This window comes from Homo sapiens, chromosome 3 (genome assembly GCF_000001405.40).
Source record: "Homo sapiens chromosome 3, GRCh38.p14 Primary Assembly".
Taxonomy (NCBI): domain Eukaryota; kingdom Metazoa; phylum Chordata; class Mammalia; order Primates; family Hominidae; genus Homo; species Homo sapiens.
In genome coordinates, this window is record NC_000003.12 from 186,089,745 (window position 1) to 186,108,191 (window position 18,447).

General features: G+C 42.5%; 1 protein-coding gene across 1 annotated transcript in view, besides 2 other annotated features; it reads right to left on the minus strand.

Moving 5' to 3' along the window:
• Positions 1–18,447, minus strand: part of ETV5 (ETS variant transcription factor 5) — a 62,776-nt gene that overhangs the window by 43,431 nt on the left and 898 nt on the right. The window contains exons 2-5 of the mRNA NM_004454.3: positions 16,080–16,198; positions 15,881–15,968; positions 15,705–15,752; positions 15,561–15,611 (exon numbers count right to left, since the gene is read on the minus strand). Of these exons, the coding sequence (NP_004445.1) occupies positions 15,561–15,611; positions 15,705–15,752; positions 15,881–15,968; positions 16,080–16,124 (232 nt within the window). The 5' untranslated portion in view covers positions 16,125–16,198. The remainder of the gene's footprint in view (positions 1–15,560; positions 15,612–15,704; positions 15,753–15,880; positions 15,969–16,079; positions 16,199–18,447) is intronic.
• Positions 7,842–8,355: an enhancer, noted in NCBI's record as "NANOG-H3K27ac hESC enhancer chr3:185815375-185815888 (GRCh37/hg19 assembly coordinates)". NCBI's record gives its function as "activates a minimal SCP1, AML or CMV promoter by ChIP-STARR-seq in naive H9 embryonic stem cells {active_cell/tissue: H9 hESC(naive)}" and the evidence as "EXISTENCE:reporter gene assay evidence [ECO:0000049][PMID:30033119]".
• Positions 18,068–18,127: an enhancer, noted in NCBI's record as "active region_20931". NCBI's record gives its function as "activates an Ori minimal core promoter by ATAC-STARR-seq in GM12878 lymphoblastoid cells {active_cell/tissue: GM12878}" and the evidence as "EXISTENCE:reporter gene assay evidence [ECO:0000049][PMID:35858748]".

Genomic DNA, 18,447 nt, shown 5'->3' on the forward strand with positions numbered 1-18,447 from the left:
AGGGAGACTGTTGCATATTAAAGAAGACAAATGAAGCATAAACATAAATGCAATGTGTGATTTTAAATTGAATCCTAGATCAAAACCATTATCAACATTGCTAAAGAGATATCTGGAGACAACTGGGGAATTCCAAACATTACTGAATAAAAGTTAATTTTCTCAGGCTATGTAGGAGAATGTCAATCTGTGGAGACGCACACCAGGGTATTTGGGGTGAAATGTTATAATGCCTGAAACTTGCTTTCAAATGGTTAAGAAAAAACCATATATACACAGAGATGAAGCAAATGTAGCAATACGTTTTAAAAATAAATCAATAAAACAGCTATTATGTCCCATTTCCTCTGAGATATTTGGAGGAAAAAAAATCCTTTATCTTATAGTTGACTAACATGTCAAAAGTAGAAATGCTTAGAACCTCAAAACCATACGTCGACAAATGAAGAAAGCCACCCTTGGCCTGTTACTGAATTGGAAGGATAATACAGCCCTGGGAATCTAGCCTTACACAAGGATATATGCTGGTCATACCTAATGTCTACGCCAGTGGTTCTCAAACACATTTTGTTGGCTTTGGCCCACTTAGAAAGGACAAGGGAACACTCCAGAGATGGCAAAATAAAAACAGCCACTGCTGTCACTGTGACTACTGCCTGCTAATACTTCCATCAACCTGCCTGGGTAAAAAGATAGCAGTTACACAAATGCAAAATGATCAACAAAAATAACACCTATCAGTAACTATATTCATATTAATGCATCTATAACAGGAACTAAAATATATGCCCAAGTCAACCACAAACGATTCTTGAGAAAAAATGGAGAATTTCCACTCCTTGTGAATTTATATGTAAAACACGTTTAGGACAAATAGGTTGTCCAGAACAGCTGGACAACTCATTCGATTTCATCCCCAGGGTCCTCCAGAGAGTGCAAGGCAGCTATCACCAACCTGGGAAGGTTGGCAGAATTGAAGTTCTCTTTCTTATGGTTCTCCTTCATTTTCTTCCCTCATAAGCAGCTTGGGTTAGCCCTTTTTACCCCTAAATGCTGAGCAGGGCTGGGATCAGGACGAGAGGAAGCTGGAAATAGGTGGCCTATGCTTTCGCTGCTCTGAGCCTGGGGGCTCCAACTGTTCAGCCTAGTTTACCAGGCTAATAAAAAGGAACACGGGGCTGAAGACCTAAACTGTGTTGAAGTAAGTACACTGGCTTGGAAAATCCCCTGTGCCTTTATGTCTTAGGAACCAAGAATGGCAGCTGGACCTTAGTGTGGAATCAAGGCCCTCCATACGACTCATAGGGGACATGACAAACACCTGGTAAGCCAACAACTGGCTGGCCATACCACATGCAGGGGCTGAGATTTCAGGGCAGGCTCATTCTGCAAGAACAGCTGCATTTGTCCTGGGCAAAGTCCCACATGAAGAAAGTAAGGCTTGTGCTTTGTGCTTGTGCTTTGGGATAGGGTTTGCTATTAGCAGGTACAGGGAAAGAAGCTTCAGAACTGGCACAGCTGTATAGTATTCAGGACTTTAGATTAGCAATTAATCATGGTGGTGGAAGGGAGTTATGATGTTGATGACTCTGGGGTATTTTTGCTATTTGTCATATGTCTCGGCAAGAACCAAAGGACTGACTGTCACCTTGGTGGTATATTTCAGGGCTCCAGGGTCTCAGATCAACCATGAGATAGCAGAATTCATCAGTGAACAGTTACAGAATAGAATCCCTTCCTATAAGGCCAATTATCATCTTCTGTACAATAAATAACGCAAGAGCCAAATTAGGGAGTGGTAAAGCTAGTTCCTGGAACACTTGGCTTCAGGAATCAGATTTCTCCCATGCAGTGGGAAAAAAAACTACAGTCAGCAGAAGAGAGGCTTCAGGAACTGGTGTGTGGACAAAACAAACAAACAAAACACTCAATTCTTGCTGATTTAGACCTAGAAACTTGGGGTAATACAATCAGCTCAAAATAAAAGGCTTTGAATGTATTATCATGACATGGACTATGGGAAAGACATATCCAAAAAATAGGGTTAGGGTTACATTGGTATAGGAATAAGACCAACCTAAGATCCAGATTCAAGTTTTTGAAGTTTTGATGGCCTTGCATGAAAATGGCTAGAAATACCAGGATGTAATAGCAGCCAATGAAATTAGAGCCAAGTCTTGCCACAGTGGGAAAGGAAGTGAGGGAAGGAGACACCTTTCTTGCTCATGAGAGTAGATGAGGTTGTATCAAGTGTCTGGAAATTCAAGAGCCAAGACCTTTTGGGGAAGATTTTTGAAATGCAAGCTGAGGAATTTTGTTGGTGAGTGCCATGTTAAAAAATGCTAGGCACCTTGCTTGAAAGGCAGCATAGAGACTATCTCCAGAAAGCCCACTCTCAGTTCCTAAGTGTGGTGGCAGAAACACAATTATTAAGGACACTGGAAGATTACTCTAGAATTCTGAAAATGGAAATCCAAAGGCCTTGAATATAAAAGTTAGAAACTAAAGGGAAGAAAAGGAGCTTAGAAAAGAACTGAACCAACTTTGAAAATGTATAAATAGCATTAGTAGACAATGGTATCTGAAACATCTCTAAGAGGTTGCCTGCAAAGACAGTGGAATTTCTCCCAGAATACAGGAATTAAGAGTTATTGATAAAATTTTCCCCACCTGGGTTTCATTTTACCTCTTTTTGTTTGTTTTTTTAGAGATAGGGTCTTGCTCTGTGACCCAGGCTAGAGAGCAATGGCGCAATCATAGCTCACTGTAGTCTCAACTTCTGGACTCAAGCGAGCTTCTTGCCTCAGCCTCCAGAGTAGGTGGGACCACCGGTGCCTGCCACCACACGCAGCTACATTTTTTTTTTTTTTAAAGAGACGGGGTCTCACTATGTTGCCCAGGCTGGTCTCAATCTCCTGGCATCATATGATCCTCTAGTCTCAGCCCCCCAAAGTGTTGGGATTACAGGCTTGAGCCGCTGCACCCAGCCTCAAACCTGGGTTTTAAAATAGATGACGGAACTGGTACCGAGAAGCAGTTAAGACCATGAGGCCATTCTCTGTAAGTCTCTCCTCCATTGCTTGTTTACCTCAGATAACCCTAAGTCTCTGCTATGCACTCGAGCTGACGATAGCAACATGGGTCTAGGTTGTGACACATATCATGTACTGGGCTTGTAGAACATTGCTTTCTCTGGGGGAAATGCTGGCTGTATATAGAACTGGTGCTTTGAAGACAAGACCTTGCAGAGTTCTGGAGAGTCAAGTGTTTGTATAAGACCAGTGTTATGATATTTTATGCCCTTACTGCTCCCTGGAATGTGGGCTATATGAGATACAGGATAGATTCAACAATGGAGAAATCCAGCATATCAGCAATTCCAGCTTAGGGGACCCCCAGGTTGTAGCTTCTAGCAGACCCCAGAACAAAGCCCGTCTGGCTAGGGGTAAAAGCAGGGAAAGATGAAAATGGTGATTTTATACTTACAAAGGAATTTTAATTTCTTTGTGGGAAGGGGGAATGACTAGACAAGGAGGTTACACTTTACAGAAAAGGGCCTTAGTTGGGAGCATTCTCACACTGTTAAAAATCTCATTATTTGAACTATAAGGTTTATATTATCTAGTGGCTTCATATAACCTGGGGAAGGGGAGGTGGTTTAAAGGTTTCCTTCTGCTAAGCATGGCTCAAGGATTGCAACATTCAGCAAACAATTGCCTCCTTCCCATCCCCCATTTCACATGGCCGCTTACAGCAATGGTAGCAGCCAGAGAGCAGAACCAGCACAGGGTATCTGGCAATCAAATACCCAGATGAAATACAATTGGTTAGAAGACAAAAACTAAATTCTGCCCATGGAAGTCGGCTTGGGAGGTTACTGTCTAACATGTAATTGTAACCCACAGGTTGGACAGTACAACTCAGGTTGACCGGCCCAAGTGTGGGGGGCACTCCAAACTCCGGGGGGAGCTCAAGACTTGCCCTACCTCTTTACTCCTTCCAGAGAGAAGAAATGTGATCAAGTCTAAGATGATACCCAGGTCCTCAAGGACAGACAGGGGGAAAGATGGGGTGGGGCAATAGCTTTGGCTAGGAAGAGCAAATGTGGTCCTGAACACTGTCTACCTTTTCTGCTGCATGAGGCTGAAAGCTGCTCCCACTCTCCAAAGGCTGAGAAGGCCCAGGGAAGAGCTCAAGGCAATGGACCTGTTGCGGGCCTTTGGAGTAAAAGAGTCATCAAAGGTGACCTATGGGGCACTAGCAAGTTTGCAAGGGTAGAGAAGTTGGCAAGGCATGCCTTTGGTCATCAACTAGGAGGGCTGGCTTTTGGGATACTGGTCTTGTCCTTTCTTCACTTCTATCAGCGAATGATATGGGTGATTTGTAAAGATTTCTATTCTAACTCTGGCTAAAATACAAGGAAAGAAATTCTTTGTATTAATGCTTCGTCACTGCTCCTCCTCCCAAAAGAAGTGGTCACGGATGGGAGGAGAGCCTTCCGTCCACGGGTGTAAAGTACTAAATCAGCAATGTCCTGATTCATAGATGGTGACCTGTGGGTAAGAACGATTATCTATCACTGAATAGCTGCATCTTATTCTCGGGACAAAATTGCCTCTTGCAGACAGTAATTTCCAAACAGAAAACCTCTGTTATCAAATAAGGAAGAAAACTGAATGCCAATGGTAGTAGAGTGATTTTTTTTGACCCAGATGAACTAGTTTCAGATTTACTTCCTTTAAGTTCATATTCTTTCTACACTTCAGCATTTTTCTTGAAACAGCTTGGATTTGTACAGTTCCCTTTCTTCAAAGGACTCATTTAGCCTAACAATTTAGGATTGTTACTTTAGAACGCCAAAAATGGAAACCTAGATGCCTTGAATTTCAGCGTTAGAAATTAAAGGTCAGGAGACGAGAAAAGAATTAGACCAACTTCGATTGAAGTAGGGCTCAAGTATTAGCACATACGGGGCTCTTCCATTAAAAATATTTTATACAGGATGAATATTTCTAATTGCATAAGAGTGTCGCATCTCAGAACTTGTGGGATGTGGAGAAACCAAAGCATTTAACAGTCAAGTAACATGCTTGTGAGTACGGAACTGACTCCAGGAGAGTCAAGATAAAAACAAGAGGTTCTTCTGACTTCTAATGCACCGCCCCCTTTCGACTACCATAGGCTTCTTTTAGACCTACAGCCACAGAGCTGGCATGTTGGTTACTTTCATGCTTAAGAGACCAGCAGCATACAAATGTGAGGGACTGGCAGGATTACACCAAAGGAGGATTCTGAGCATTATTTGAATCAGTGTTTTACTACTTTCCTTGGGCAGCTTAGCTCTTCAAAGAATTTTAATACTCAACCTGTAGAAATATGATAGACAACTATTGGTTTTATTTTCAAGATTGAGAAAGAGGTCTAAGGAAACCCTTGTTCTCCCAACTCATTAGAGATGACAGGGCGGCTTCCTCTACTGTGACCTTACATCAACCACAGTGGATTTTATCATGAAGGGCTGCTCACACTGGATCACGCAATCAGGATAAGGGGAAACAGGACATTTTTCCTGAAAGGAAAAAAAATTGCAAAACTAAACCTTAAGCTTTAACAACCCTTCTATAATTTACTCCCAACTTACATAATTCTCATCCACACTGGCACTAAAGTGAAATGTTAACAGTACTTGAAATAGGATTTAAGCACTGTGGAAAATCTTATCTTTAATTTCAGATTGAAAATTCATCCTTAAAATCTGACAGGAGAAAATCCAAACCCTAGGGAAATGAGTTTCTTCCCCCAGAACCATTCCCTTCTATCTATAGCCCCACTTCTCCTAAAAGCAGAAACTCAGCAAGTACGTCAAGGGTGCCTAAACTGTGACTTGCTCTCTAGCACATGCAGTCTTACTGGGAAACATAGCATTAGCTGCTCAAAGTCTAAATGCAGCCTAGCAACACTTGGCTAGTGTATGTGTTTAAAAGAGGAAACAGAAAATGAGAAATAGCCCTAACTAGCTTTTGTTCTCTTTATCTAGAAGGTCATCCCAAGGACTCAGAACTCTGGGTTTGAGACCCTTTACAGTGTTACTTCCCCACCAGCTGGAGGCTGGGGCAGCTGGGATGGGAAGGGCATGTGGTAGGGAATGCGGTGGTGTGCGGGCTGTATGCACCAGGTGTCCACAGTGCGCAGAGCAGGCGCTGTGGCCGAGGCGGGACATAAACACGTGACAGGGCTCCTCTGCTTCTGCAGACACTTGGAGCCTAAGAAATGTGATTTGTTTCCTGTTTCAATAGGCATAAAAATGGGGAAGCAGGGACTATGATTATTAGTTGTCAAAATACTAAATACCTCCCAAAACCCTATGCTGTTTCCACCTTCTTCCGCAAGAAATAAAATTCCATGGCTGCTGGGGAAGAAAAAAAATGAAGAGGGAGTTGAGGAGAAGCAGAAATTTTCTGAGTCGAGATATCCCTCAGCACAGCAAAGTTATCCCCCCTCAATTATTCTCTATTAAAATTCAGATGAGGAAACTAGGGGTAGGCTCCAGGATCCGGCCTTTACTGTGGGTGACCATGTGAAAGAGACATCCCCCCCTCTTCTATTCTACCTTTTCTATGGGAAAAGTATAAAAGACCCTCATTAAGTGCTCTTGCAGGCCATTACAAAGCATTTCCAGGCACTCAGCTGAAAGTGTTTATGTAAGCGAAGTCCTTTTCAGCCCCTCTGGAGAAACACAGATATCAGCAACCTCCTACACAGCTGATATCTAGGGTTACCTCCTGAGAGGTTTCAAACTCTCTCACAAAAGGACAATCTGCCCAGGCCTGTTCTTTTTTTAATAGGGAAGGGAAGGCATGCTTGCAAGGCCAACTTACAGCAAGGGAAAAAAAAATCCTTGAGGCAAAACACAAGTGCAAACTGCCTTATTAAGTTTGTGAGGATGAAGAGTAGGAACTAAGAAGAGCTCTTTAAAATCCTGAGGAAGTTGCTCTGGATCATTACTATTAAGTTTTGTTTTGCCTTTTAACTGATTGTCCTTTTTATGCTCATCATACATCCCTGGGCTATCCCACAGAGAACACTGGACGTGTGTCTGTGAGCTGCCGGTGAGCTACCAGGTAAGATGTTGGAGGATGTTTAAGTGTGGAAGCAGCTAGGTGTGGTGGCTCGAACCTGTAATGCCAGCTATGTGGGAGGACTGCTTGAGGCCATGAGTTTCAGACCAGCCTGGGCAACACAGCAAGACCACCCCCAGCACACCCGCTTGGCCAATTAATCAATCAATCAATCAAGGCTGGATGCTATTTTGAGGCACGTGCACCCTTAAAACCTGGCCTAGTTTTGGCATGATGAGGCTACTTTGGTTTGGGGGTTGCTCAGAGGCTGGGTTTTTCTGGTACTTCCAAGGATGTTCATTTTGGGAGGCAATGCATTTGATTAGTGTCCAGTGGAAGGGTTTACAGCCATAGTGAGGTTCCCCCATTGCTCAGTACCAGAAGTTTGAGTACGGTCGTTTAAAAAATACTTATCTGACCACAGTGGAAAATTAAACAGGAGTGAAGGCAAAGGAGTAGAAAAACTACAACTTTGTCTCCCCCTGTGTTAAAATTGTAAGCCTAAGCAAGAAGTGTCTGTGTCGTGGCAGGTAAACACCTGGGCTATTCAGGCCTGGAGTAGAGGGGAGGTCAGAGAAGAGCAGGCAGGAATCCTCAATGGGGAGCTAAAGCCACAACCCCACGGGAAGGAGATAAAAGGGTTTAACAGCCTCAGATCAAGTCTCAACACCTCCCTCTCCAGGGGAAGCTAAACCACCCTCTCCTCTTATTATCACGCCCTTTAGACAGCTACAGTCTAAAATGAGAGACAAAGAAAGGGGAATGGGCTTCACTGGCTTTGTGGGTCAGCGGCAGCTCTTCCCCAGAATCCCAGGCCATCAGCCCGGCAGTTTAAGGGTTAAAGTGAGCACTTAAAAGAAAACTCAAACCCCATTAAGCCCAGGCTTGGAGAACAGGGAGCAGCAGGGAAGCCAAAGGAAACTAATTTTGGAGGCTCTCCAAGCTGCCAATCACAAGCATATTTCTAACAGTCCCAGTGTTGTTTGAGTTGGTTGTTTTTCCACGGGCTGCACAATGGGGTCTGGTTATTCATTGAAAAAGTCTGCAAGTGAGCCCCGCCCTCCATTCACAACCAATTTGGAATGCTCCATTCAGGCAAGAGGGGGAATCTGCAGCTCTGCTAGCTGGGGCAGACCTAATAGTGCTCAGCGCCCAGCTGTCGCCGCAGGGACGCTTGCTCGCTCAGTACGCTGTGTTTACGTAAGAAATTCAGACACGGCAGGGGATCTTGCCTGCTGTGCACCCTTCCTAGGATTCAAATGGCCAAGACCCTTGTGGAAATCTGCAAGGCTGTGCAAAAGTCCGCTAGAAGTAAGGTCAGAAAGTGCCCTCTGGCAAAACGGGAAAGGCAAAAGAAAAACTATCATGTGCCCCTCGGTTCAGAATCTGGCTGTAGCTACCAGCGGAGAGAAACAGACTTCAGTGGTATTTCTCCTGCCCCAGGGTGAGCTGGTTTGCATTAGGGCACAACTCTCTCTGGAAGCCTGCCTCTCCAGACCTTCCTTCCCATTCACTGCTGGTAGCTACATCGGGAGCCACCTGGCTTCCTCCCCAGGGGAGGAGGGCTCTGGAGACACTACCAGATTTTCTGGCTGCAGAGGAGGGGACAAGCTACCTATTAAGACAATTTCACAGTTCCTTTTTTGGCTTTGGATCCAGCCTGAAGAGTTCAGAATACCCTCCTGAATGCTCATGAGACATCAAAAGGGAAGAATGTGGAGATCTAAGGTTGGAGGGTGAAATCTACGCCGAGACTTTGCAAAGTACAAGGCAAAAAAAACTGGCTTTGCTTCTTAGATATTTTTTCCAAACCTTCAATAATCACCCTGAGGGAAAGCGGATGGAGCCCGTCTGACAACCAGACTTTATTTCAAGGAAAAGCATACTTCTTTATGAAAAGCAAATCCAGGAGATAAATTTTAGCTCATGGTTGTTTCCTTTTTTTCATCACATATTTGGCTATTTTCAAATGTCTTATGTATGCTTCTTCTCACTGCCTGCCCTCATGTCCCCTCCAGCGAACTCAGTGCCACTGGAAGCATTTCTCTGAAGTCCTTCTGACCACAGAATCCCCATTCCATGCCTCGGCTGTTCAGATCAGCCTCAAACTCCTGGCCTTTTAATAACTAGATCTTATCCTGCTCCCTGGAATCTTGCACTCTCTGCTTCAATTTTCCCCTAGATGCTTCTTTCTTTTTAAACAAGGGAGCCCCCTTTATTTTCTATGCAGAGTCCTCTTACGGGGAATTCTTTTCCCTTTAACATCTGAGTTGCTAACCCACTGTCATTTGCCTGCCAGGCCCAAAGGTGTACTTACATTATGGTTATAATTTATACATACACACTCTAACTAGTGCCGGCACATACTAGGGGCCTGGTATCTTGCCACTCCTTTAAGCCAAGCCTAGAGGGATAGGACAATGATAGAAACTGACGACCAAAGCCTCTGTTAAATGAGCTTGATGAGTTCACAAAATGAATTTTTAAAAAAGCAACCTAATCCGGTAATGGCATCAGCATGCCTGGCACTTGTCCAAGAGCTGGGAGCTGCAACATGACAAGCCTCTGAGCTCCTTGGATTCCAAGTGGAGAAGCACTGTGTGCCAGGGCACAGATGGGGCCCAAGCTGCCTCAAGGGCAGCCGTATGCCCGAGAGGGGGCTGTCAGCCTCTGAGGCTGGATGTACTTTACCACCACTAAAACCCAAGAAATGTGTGGAGGGAACAGTTTCTCGGCAGAGAATCACACACCCCACCCCACCACCAAGAAACATTTTTTTCTAGGGCTGAAATTAAAACAATGATACTACTAGATGGTAGAAATGGGAGACAGTACACATTTTCGGCTTCATTATGCTACCCATGCCTTACTCCTGTAAAACTGAAGAATGCTGAAAGAGGAGGGGATAAATGGTAATTTCTTCATGGATGCCAGGATTTTGTTACTTCTGGCACCTACACAAGTGATCTTGACACAGATGTAACTCCCCGTCCCAAATCTTTCTCACCAAATACAAAGGACTGGTAAGCCTACTGGGTTTTGTTAGATGACTAACAGCGCAGAGACACAGAAGGGTAAGAGAAAAATTCAGTTTTAAATAAGCCTAACTGAATTAAAGGTAGACGAAAGCAGATTTTGTAAAACAGATGGCTCCTTTAAGTAAATGCGTACTGTAGGTCTTGGGTCCTTCAGAATACTGAGTCTAAGAATCTTTGAGGCTATCAAAACAGGAAGGATTTCAAATCATTTAGCACCCTCCCAGCAGTAAGGTACTGGGCTAACTAACAAACACTTTGAAAGTAACACTGTAAAACCTGGAGTCAAAGAATCTCTCCTCCATGTTTTCCTCACGCTTTCATCAGCATTCTTTTCTACCTTCAGAACTACTGATTCCTGAAAAGTATAAACCAATGGCCTTGTTTTCCCTCAAACCTCTTATTTTTAAAGTGCCCACTGTTTTCTTTCTTACCTTGCCAAACAAAAAGACTTTAGGATGATCCTTTTGAATAGAGGTGGCCCAAGCAAGAAAACGTGGTGTTTTGCTACACCACACCTAGGACCAAAGACCAAAATGATGTACCCTCTCCAAAGGAAAGGCACTGCCTCTACTGTACTAAACTCACACATTAATAAAGAAATCCAGCTGAATAATCTCATCGTGAAACAGGATTAAGATCAATGTGTTTTAGGCTCAAGGGCTGTCATAACAGTTAATCCTATTTCCCCAGCCGTCTATTGCAATGTATTTATGAAAAGTCGATTTTATCAGTTAATTAGCTGGTCCTTAGGAAATTACTTGTACTTCCTCCAGTTGTTCCATTCTCTTTGAAACACAGATCTAAAAAGAACACTTCAAGGGGAAAATGGGGTCATTTGGATCTTAAAACAATTCTCTAGGCTGTATTTGGTATGGAGGCCATGACTTTGAAATAAGATTTTTATCATGCTCTCTACTCAGCATAAAATATCTTAGTTATTCAAGATGCTAACAGGTATATATTTATAATATCATAACTGAAATTAATAAGTGAGATTAAAAATCAGACCCAAAATGTATATTTAAAAAACTGCTATTTATATATGCTAAAATCTAGTAACACACTCTTTAAGTACCCAGTCAGTTCAGAAAAATGAATGGAACACATCACCTTACCCCGACTTTGAAACACTCTTGAGTTCCAATCTTATCCATGGCATAGTTAGTTCTATGAAAATGTGTAGTAAATATGTACATACATCTATGCACTGACCCAGATTCCCTGGTTTAGCCGCTCTATGTGTTAAGGTACACATTTAGCTACATACACAGTTACATAGATATATACACATGCACAAACACTTTTTCATATATAGGAAATATGTACACAGTTTTATCTGTATACACACGAAAGGTGTCTTCTAGGAAACATGGCAGTTTTCTTTTGTTTTCGTTTTTTAGAGATAGGGTCTTGCTCTGGTACCTAGGCTGGGGTACAGTGGTGTGATCACTACTCGCTTCAACTGTAACCTCGAACTCCTAGGCTCAAGAGATCCTCCCGACTTGGCCTCCTAAAGCACTGAGGTTACAGGTGTGAGCCTAAATATGTCAGTTTTTTATAATTTTTTTCTTTTATAATTACTCTCTGTCTTCCAAATCCTAGATGGAAAAACTCAAAGCATGAAGGTATTGAGTAACTTTCTCAGGATCATAGAAGGAAGAGAAGTGAGTGCTGAATTGGACAGCCAGAGGCCTCCCAGATGCTTTCCTGAACACCATCTCCAGGTATCTGAAATAATGGAGACCCTGAATACACTTGAATATGCCACTACTCCCTGGCTCTGCAGCTTTGTGAGAGCTTCTTTAAGAATATTATTTTATACATCTTCCTCTTACTTCACCTAAACCTTCCCATCTGCCCCCACTACTGGTCAGTCTCTTCAGCTATTTGGGAATAGCTGTGAAAGGAGGGGGCTGGGCAAGCTTGTCTCTACAAAGGACATCCAACTCAAGCAATCTGAGATCTTCAGAGTTACTTCTTAGGACCAAGGGACAATGAGGTCCACTGGTAGAATCCCTATGATCTATAGATTTCTATTCCCTTGAATTTGACCTTTCAGAGTCTCCATGCTTTACTGATATCTATATGTGTGAGGTAGAGGTGAAATCTGTACAGCTAGAAGTAAGCTGGGCATTTCTATAAGATATAAAAGCAATGGTTTCATTCACTCAAATCAGACTTAAGGATGTATCCCTATGGGCAGGAAACCCAATTCTAAGAAACTTACAAAATATAATCTCTTTAGAAGTTGAACTTTTAGTGTTTAGAGAAAAAAAAAAGCCATAATCTTTAAAACTGACATTCCAAAATAAAAATATTACCTACATTTCTTAGTATTTCTCTTTCTTTCATGTATACAATAAATTTACACATATACAATGGAAAATTATCAAATCATTATTAATAGGAAAGTGTATTACCAGTGGCCACTGGTAAGAATATTTGTTACAGGCCGGGCACAGTGGCTCACGCCTGTAATTCCAGCACTCTGGGAGGCTAAGGTGGGCGGATCACCTGAGGTCAGGAGTTCAAGACCAGCCTGGCAAACATGGTGAAGCCCCGTCTCTACTAAAAATACAAAAATTAGCCAGGCATGGTGGCAGGTGCCTGTAATCCCAGCTACTCGGGAGGCTTAGGCAGGAGAATTGCTCGAACCTGGGACGTGGACATCCCAGTAAGTGGGCCGAGATTGCGCCATTGCACTCTGGCCTGGGTGACGAGCAAAACTCTCTCTCCAAAAAAAAAAAAAAAAAAAAAGGTTTGCTTTCCCCTGGCAAATCTAAGTTTGGCTTATATTCATTGGTTAAGTGAGTCAAACCAACTCATAAGGTTTCATTAAATTTGAATGAGTTTTCTTCCCTCCCCTGAAAAAAATCACGAGCTCTTCCAGAAAATGACTGGAGTGAAGCTGGTCCTGAACTCGAGGCTGTGGAAAGCGCTCATGGAAAAGTAAGTGCATGCAGCCGGCTGTGGGCTCTGCCAGCTCCTCCTCATGCTTCTGGCTGTTGGTCTGAACTGCAGGCAAACAAACTTGCTTTTGCAAGAATGAATGGCTCAAAGATGCACCACCCACATTTGTGTTCTTGCCTTGCTTCTTAAGCAAGTTATTCTATTTGAATCTATCCCTTCTTGAAGCTCTACCTCAAGAAATAAAGTCAGAGGGAAAGAATCATTAGAAGACCTTTTCTAGGCTAGTCAACCATCTCTTTTATCCTTAAAAGACAGAAAGGCTCAACCTTAGGCAGTTAAAACAAAAAGTAAGCAAAGTAAAAAAAACATCATACTTGGTAAGCAGAAACATCTCCCAAATTACCTCCACTTGAGGTATGGAATTTTAATTAAAGAACTTAGCACATTCTATTTGCTGAGCAGAAATTATTTCTAAAGAGCCAAAACACATTTATTGATTTCTTCACTTTAGCCTATTCCCACAGATAAATATCTCTCCAAATATAAATCCTGCTTGCTGACAAAGAACATACCCTTGCTTCAGCACATGCAATCAATTTGAATGCAGCCATCTCATCTCCCTTTTAACTCTTTTGGGTTACAGAGAAACAAACAAAAGTGTCATAAAAGCATTTCAAAGAACCTCTGCCAAGAAAGCCACCTCCCAAACAGACTGCAGTTTATGCTGCTCTGAGCAAGAACTGGAAAGGCTGGGCCAAATTGTCAACACAGAACAAAGTTGGATTACAAACCCTGTCTTTCATCTTGCAAACACACACACACACACACACACACACACACACACACACACACACACACACTTGGATTATCTTTATTTAGTCTTTCAGTGGCAAGCTTCCCAATCACTCGAAAGCAATCAAAGGGCAATAATTAACATGCATTTACTCTCCCATAGAACACATCCACAGCAAGCTGTGACAAAGCTAAGGTAACCATGCATGTGTGTGTTCCAGTTTATTCCCTTTTACAGTTTCATGGCATTGTGCCTTGGACATGAGGCCTATCATTAAGGAATGTTTAGCTGTTACCTCTGCTCTTACATTTAAAAGATTTGGAATACCCAACTTTTTACTTAGAGAGAGACCTAAGATACTCTCTCTCCAGTGGCATTTTTACACACATACACCCACCTACCCAGAGATAAAACAAAGCTGGGAAGAATCTGTTGGTCCAAAATGAGAAATTGAGTCCTTGCATGGCTCAGGTGCTTGCTATTATAAACTATGACTAAGAGACATGAATTTCTCTATGATGCAACTCTCAAGAGAGGCAGCATTTTCTCCAGGCCTCTCTTAAACCTGCTCATTCGCCAGTGACTAATGCTCTCTAGAGCAGCCCTGTGCTGCTCAAATTTCATCAGCCGGCTTTGTCCTTCATAACTCTGCCTAGACCATAAAAGCTCCCAAACCTGTTGAGGACAGCCCCAAAAGATCAGTGCAAAGTAACCATGCCCCTGCCAGTGTTGAAAGCCATCTTTTGAGCTTCCCACTGCATTTTCTCTCTAGTAATGAGCACTTAGTGGCCATTTTAAGAAAAAGTTTCTCTTCTCTGAAGAGAAAAGCCACAGCAACTACACGAAAAGTAAGAGTAAATCAGGCCACTCTGTGACCACCCCTTGTCAGCTTAGGGGTAGAGACAAAATTGACAACATGTTGGATGAAGCCAAAGTTAACTGGAGTTTTCCATTAACTATTTTCTGCACCTTTAAGAAAAAGAGAAATATCAGGTTCATGATTCACATCAAGGACTTAATTTATAAAACAAACCCCAAAAAAGCCATAAAACAATGTGTGATTAATAGATGCTTGGCCTAACACCAAATATATTTTGTCAGTTAATTTATAATTTTGAGCTTAAAGCTTTGCAATATTCTTTTTTTTTTTTTTTTTGAGATGGAGTCTTGCTCTGTTGCCCAGGCTGGAGTGCAGTGATGCGATCTCAGCTCACTGCAACCTCCGCCTTCTGGATTTAAGTGATTCTCCTGCCTCAGCCTCCTGAGTAGCTTGGATTACAGGCGCCCACCACCACACCTGGCTAATTTTTGTATTTTTAGTAGAGACGGGGTTTCACCATATTGGCCAGGCTGGTCTTGAATGCCTGACCTCAAGTGATCCACCTGCCTCAGCCTCCCAAAGCCCTGGGATTATAGGTGTGAGCCACTGTGCCCAGTCAGCTTTACAATATTCTTAAGGTAAAAAGAAATTTAGGATAAAATTATGTTCAGTAAATCTTACCTGCAATACAGTAGAAATACTTTAGAAATAATTTTATTATGAAATAAAAGTTTTCAGGGTTAATTCTGAATTATTAGAAGAAACTAAATGCATACTACTGTCTAAATCTGGCCATAGCTGAAAAAAGCATATTCTAGACATGGATGATCTAAGACCAAACAATTTCAGAACAAATGTGCCATCACCAGAAAGGTACTTACGGTTATCAGACTGAAAATCTGGGACAAACTGTTCATCATCAGGAACTTGTGCTGGAAAATAGATTTTTATTTTAGACCTTTAAGTTTTATTAAAAAGCACAGTAAAATGTTTTATATGGAAAATAGGACATCCATGAAACTTGCCTTCAGCTAACCAAGCCTCTTGAAGTTGACTGAGATCCTGAAATAGCTCTGAAATTGAAAAAGAAGACCCCAGAATGAGGATATTTCTTTCGCTAGGGAGAAGACAGGGAAGAATCTACACGCTACTGTCACTGGGAGCAGGGAAGCCACAACATAATCAGGGAAAGCTTTACTACCTTCAGAATCGTGAGCCAGATCTGTGTCCAAAAACTTCCTCTTTCTGTCAATCACAGGCCGCCCTCTGCATTCCTCAGATCGAGATTTCTGAAAGAGGCCAACAGAAAGTGAAGGCTCAAGTGTAGTAAAGAGGTCCACAGGGGGAAGACTCATATTGGAGAGGGAGGACAAAACAAACCAAAAGCCACATAAACTTACCCCTGGGACCATAAAAGGGACTTGCTGATCATAAAACCCGTCCATGGTGCTTTCAGCGTCTCTAATACCACTTTGAGAGGTTTCAGCATTGAGTAATTTCTGGGGGAAAAGGGATCCTCCTGTAATATGAATTTGGGAGATTTTAACTAAGAGGGGGGAAAAAAAGAAATGAAACAATTTTAGACTGCCTTTTTTTTAGGGCCTGTGCAAAATTATTACCCTTCTGTGAAGTACTTAAAACCTACTCAAGGTGCAAGCTTTACACACCAATGCCGGGCTTGATTAATGGTATCAGAGGTACAGGATGTACTCCGTGCCAAATCCATTTACCCAGTCATCATTTTTTCTTTCTTATTTAAATCATTAAAATTACAGATTTGCTACTGTCTGTTCTCTACCAAAACAAAAATAAATAAATAAAATAAAATAAAAGGGTGATTTCAAGATTCTCTCATATACTCCAGGGCATTTGTAGTAGGGTTTTTAAAAAAGAGATAATTTAATTTTTGACAGTACAGTGTCAGGAAGCAGAGAAACTGGGTTTAAGTATTCCAAATTATTGGCAATTAAAGATCTGACATACATGGTGTTTCCAAAAGCATTTTGTAGGTCACTGTTAAAACACTATATATAGTTCCTGGAATAAATTGATCAGAGGTATACTTATCTTCACACACAACTCTTTATTTAAAAGAGGACTAAACAGATATAGCATCTGTAATGTCACAAATATCTCCCTGGTTACTTACAGAGATATTTGTGACATCTCCAACTTCTAAAAGAGTAAAATGTCTATGAAAAGTAATGGATTAAAAAAACTAATTCCATTGCATGTGGTACAATGCATCTCTACCAAAGGTCTTTTAAAACTTAGGCTGTTTCATATAGCGGAATCATTTTTTTCTAGACATACCCCCCCACCCCCAAATGAAACTCATTTCAGGACGGGTAAGTGTGTGAGTCTGGGGAAAAAGGGTGGGGTTAGAAGGGAGAAAACTTCTCCTAACGTGAGTGGAATAAAGTAACAATTTCAGGGAGGTACCATCTTCCTAAACACTTTTATTCTTCAAATAAAAACACCGTTAAGTCAACAAAAGGTGGAAAAACATTAATTTCACTCACTCCAGCTCTAAGCAATTCAAAATGCTTAAAGGTCAACTTCTTTTGTTTGACATATACACAATTTTAAACAGGAAACTTTTCCCCCGGTGAGCAATTCCATCCAATTTGTTTTTCACACTGTGTGTAGCATATCAAATTTTTCATAAGTGGGCAGGATACAAGGACACCCTTCACAGCCAGCATCCTCCGCAGCACTTTGGCCCAAGGAATCAGATATTTTCAAAGTCAAAGGAAAGAGAGGAGCAAAATAGCACACAGTTCATAACTTCCTAGAAAAACACTCGCGCCAGCCTGCCTGCGTGCCCCGTCCAAACACCACAAGAAATGTTCAGAATAACGCCTCTCTCAAATGCCACCAAACCGTATACAAAATCTGAGAAACCTCAGCAGTGAGTTGAGGGGCATGAAAGAGAGAGTGCTCTGTCGCTTAGGAAAATCTGTCAGATTAAATCATGGCCTAAGACATTTTGTGAATGTGTTAGGAGGAAGGGGACAACCAGTAGAAGACGGGAGGGGGAGATATTTTTCAGTCTCATGATGAAATACTTCACCCGGAAGAGCAAAAAAAATTCTAAAAAATTAAAAGAAATAAACTGCCATAAACGAACGGAAAAGAGGCATTCCAGGGTTAGAAAAATTGTATTCCAAGTATAATTTTTTTAAAAGCCTGAAGGAAAGGCTCGAGTTCATCCAGGAGTTTAAACCACTTCCTTTGCCCCCCCACCACCCGCGCCCCGGGCGCCCCCAGGAAAACTTTAGCACAGCGCAGCGGCGCGATCCAGGCCCCTCCCCTGTGGCGCGCAGCGGGCCCGGTTTTATGAATGGGAGAGCGAGCCGCGGCCGCCACATCAGGTAGAGGCTGTAACTGGATCTCTAGCGCTGGGCCCCATTCACAAAACAAGACACACTTCCACCCAATTCTCAGCCTTCCCCATTCATGAAAACTCCTTCAGCTGCGCCCCCGCCCCCATTTCCAACGCACGCCCAGCCTCCGACGCAGGCCCCTCACCCCAGCGTTTTAGGAAGAAAGCTCAATGCTTCATTCACAAAAAGGGAAGAAAAAAAAAAAAGCCGCAGGGAGCAGCGAGCCAACGAAAGAAACCCGCTTCATTCATAAAGTCACCCACATTCATAAAAACGAGGTGCGGCGCCCGGCGCTACCAACCGCTTCCAATCCCCCCACCCCCAACATCTCTCCCTGGCACCCCCTCGTCGACCAGGAGTTCGGTTCCCCCCCGAGTTTTCT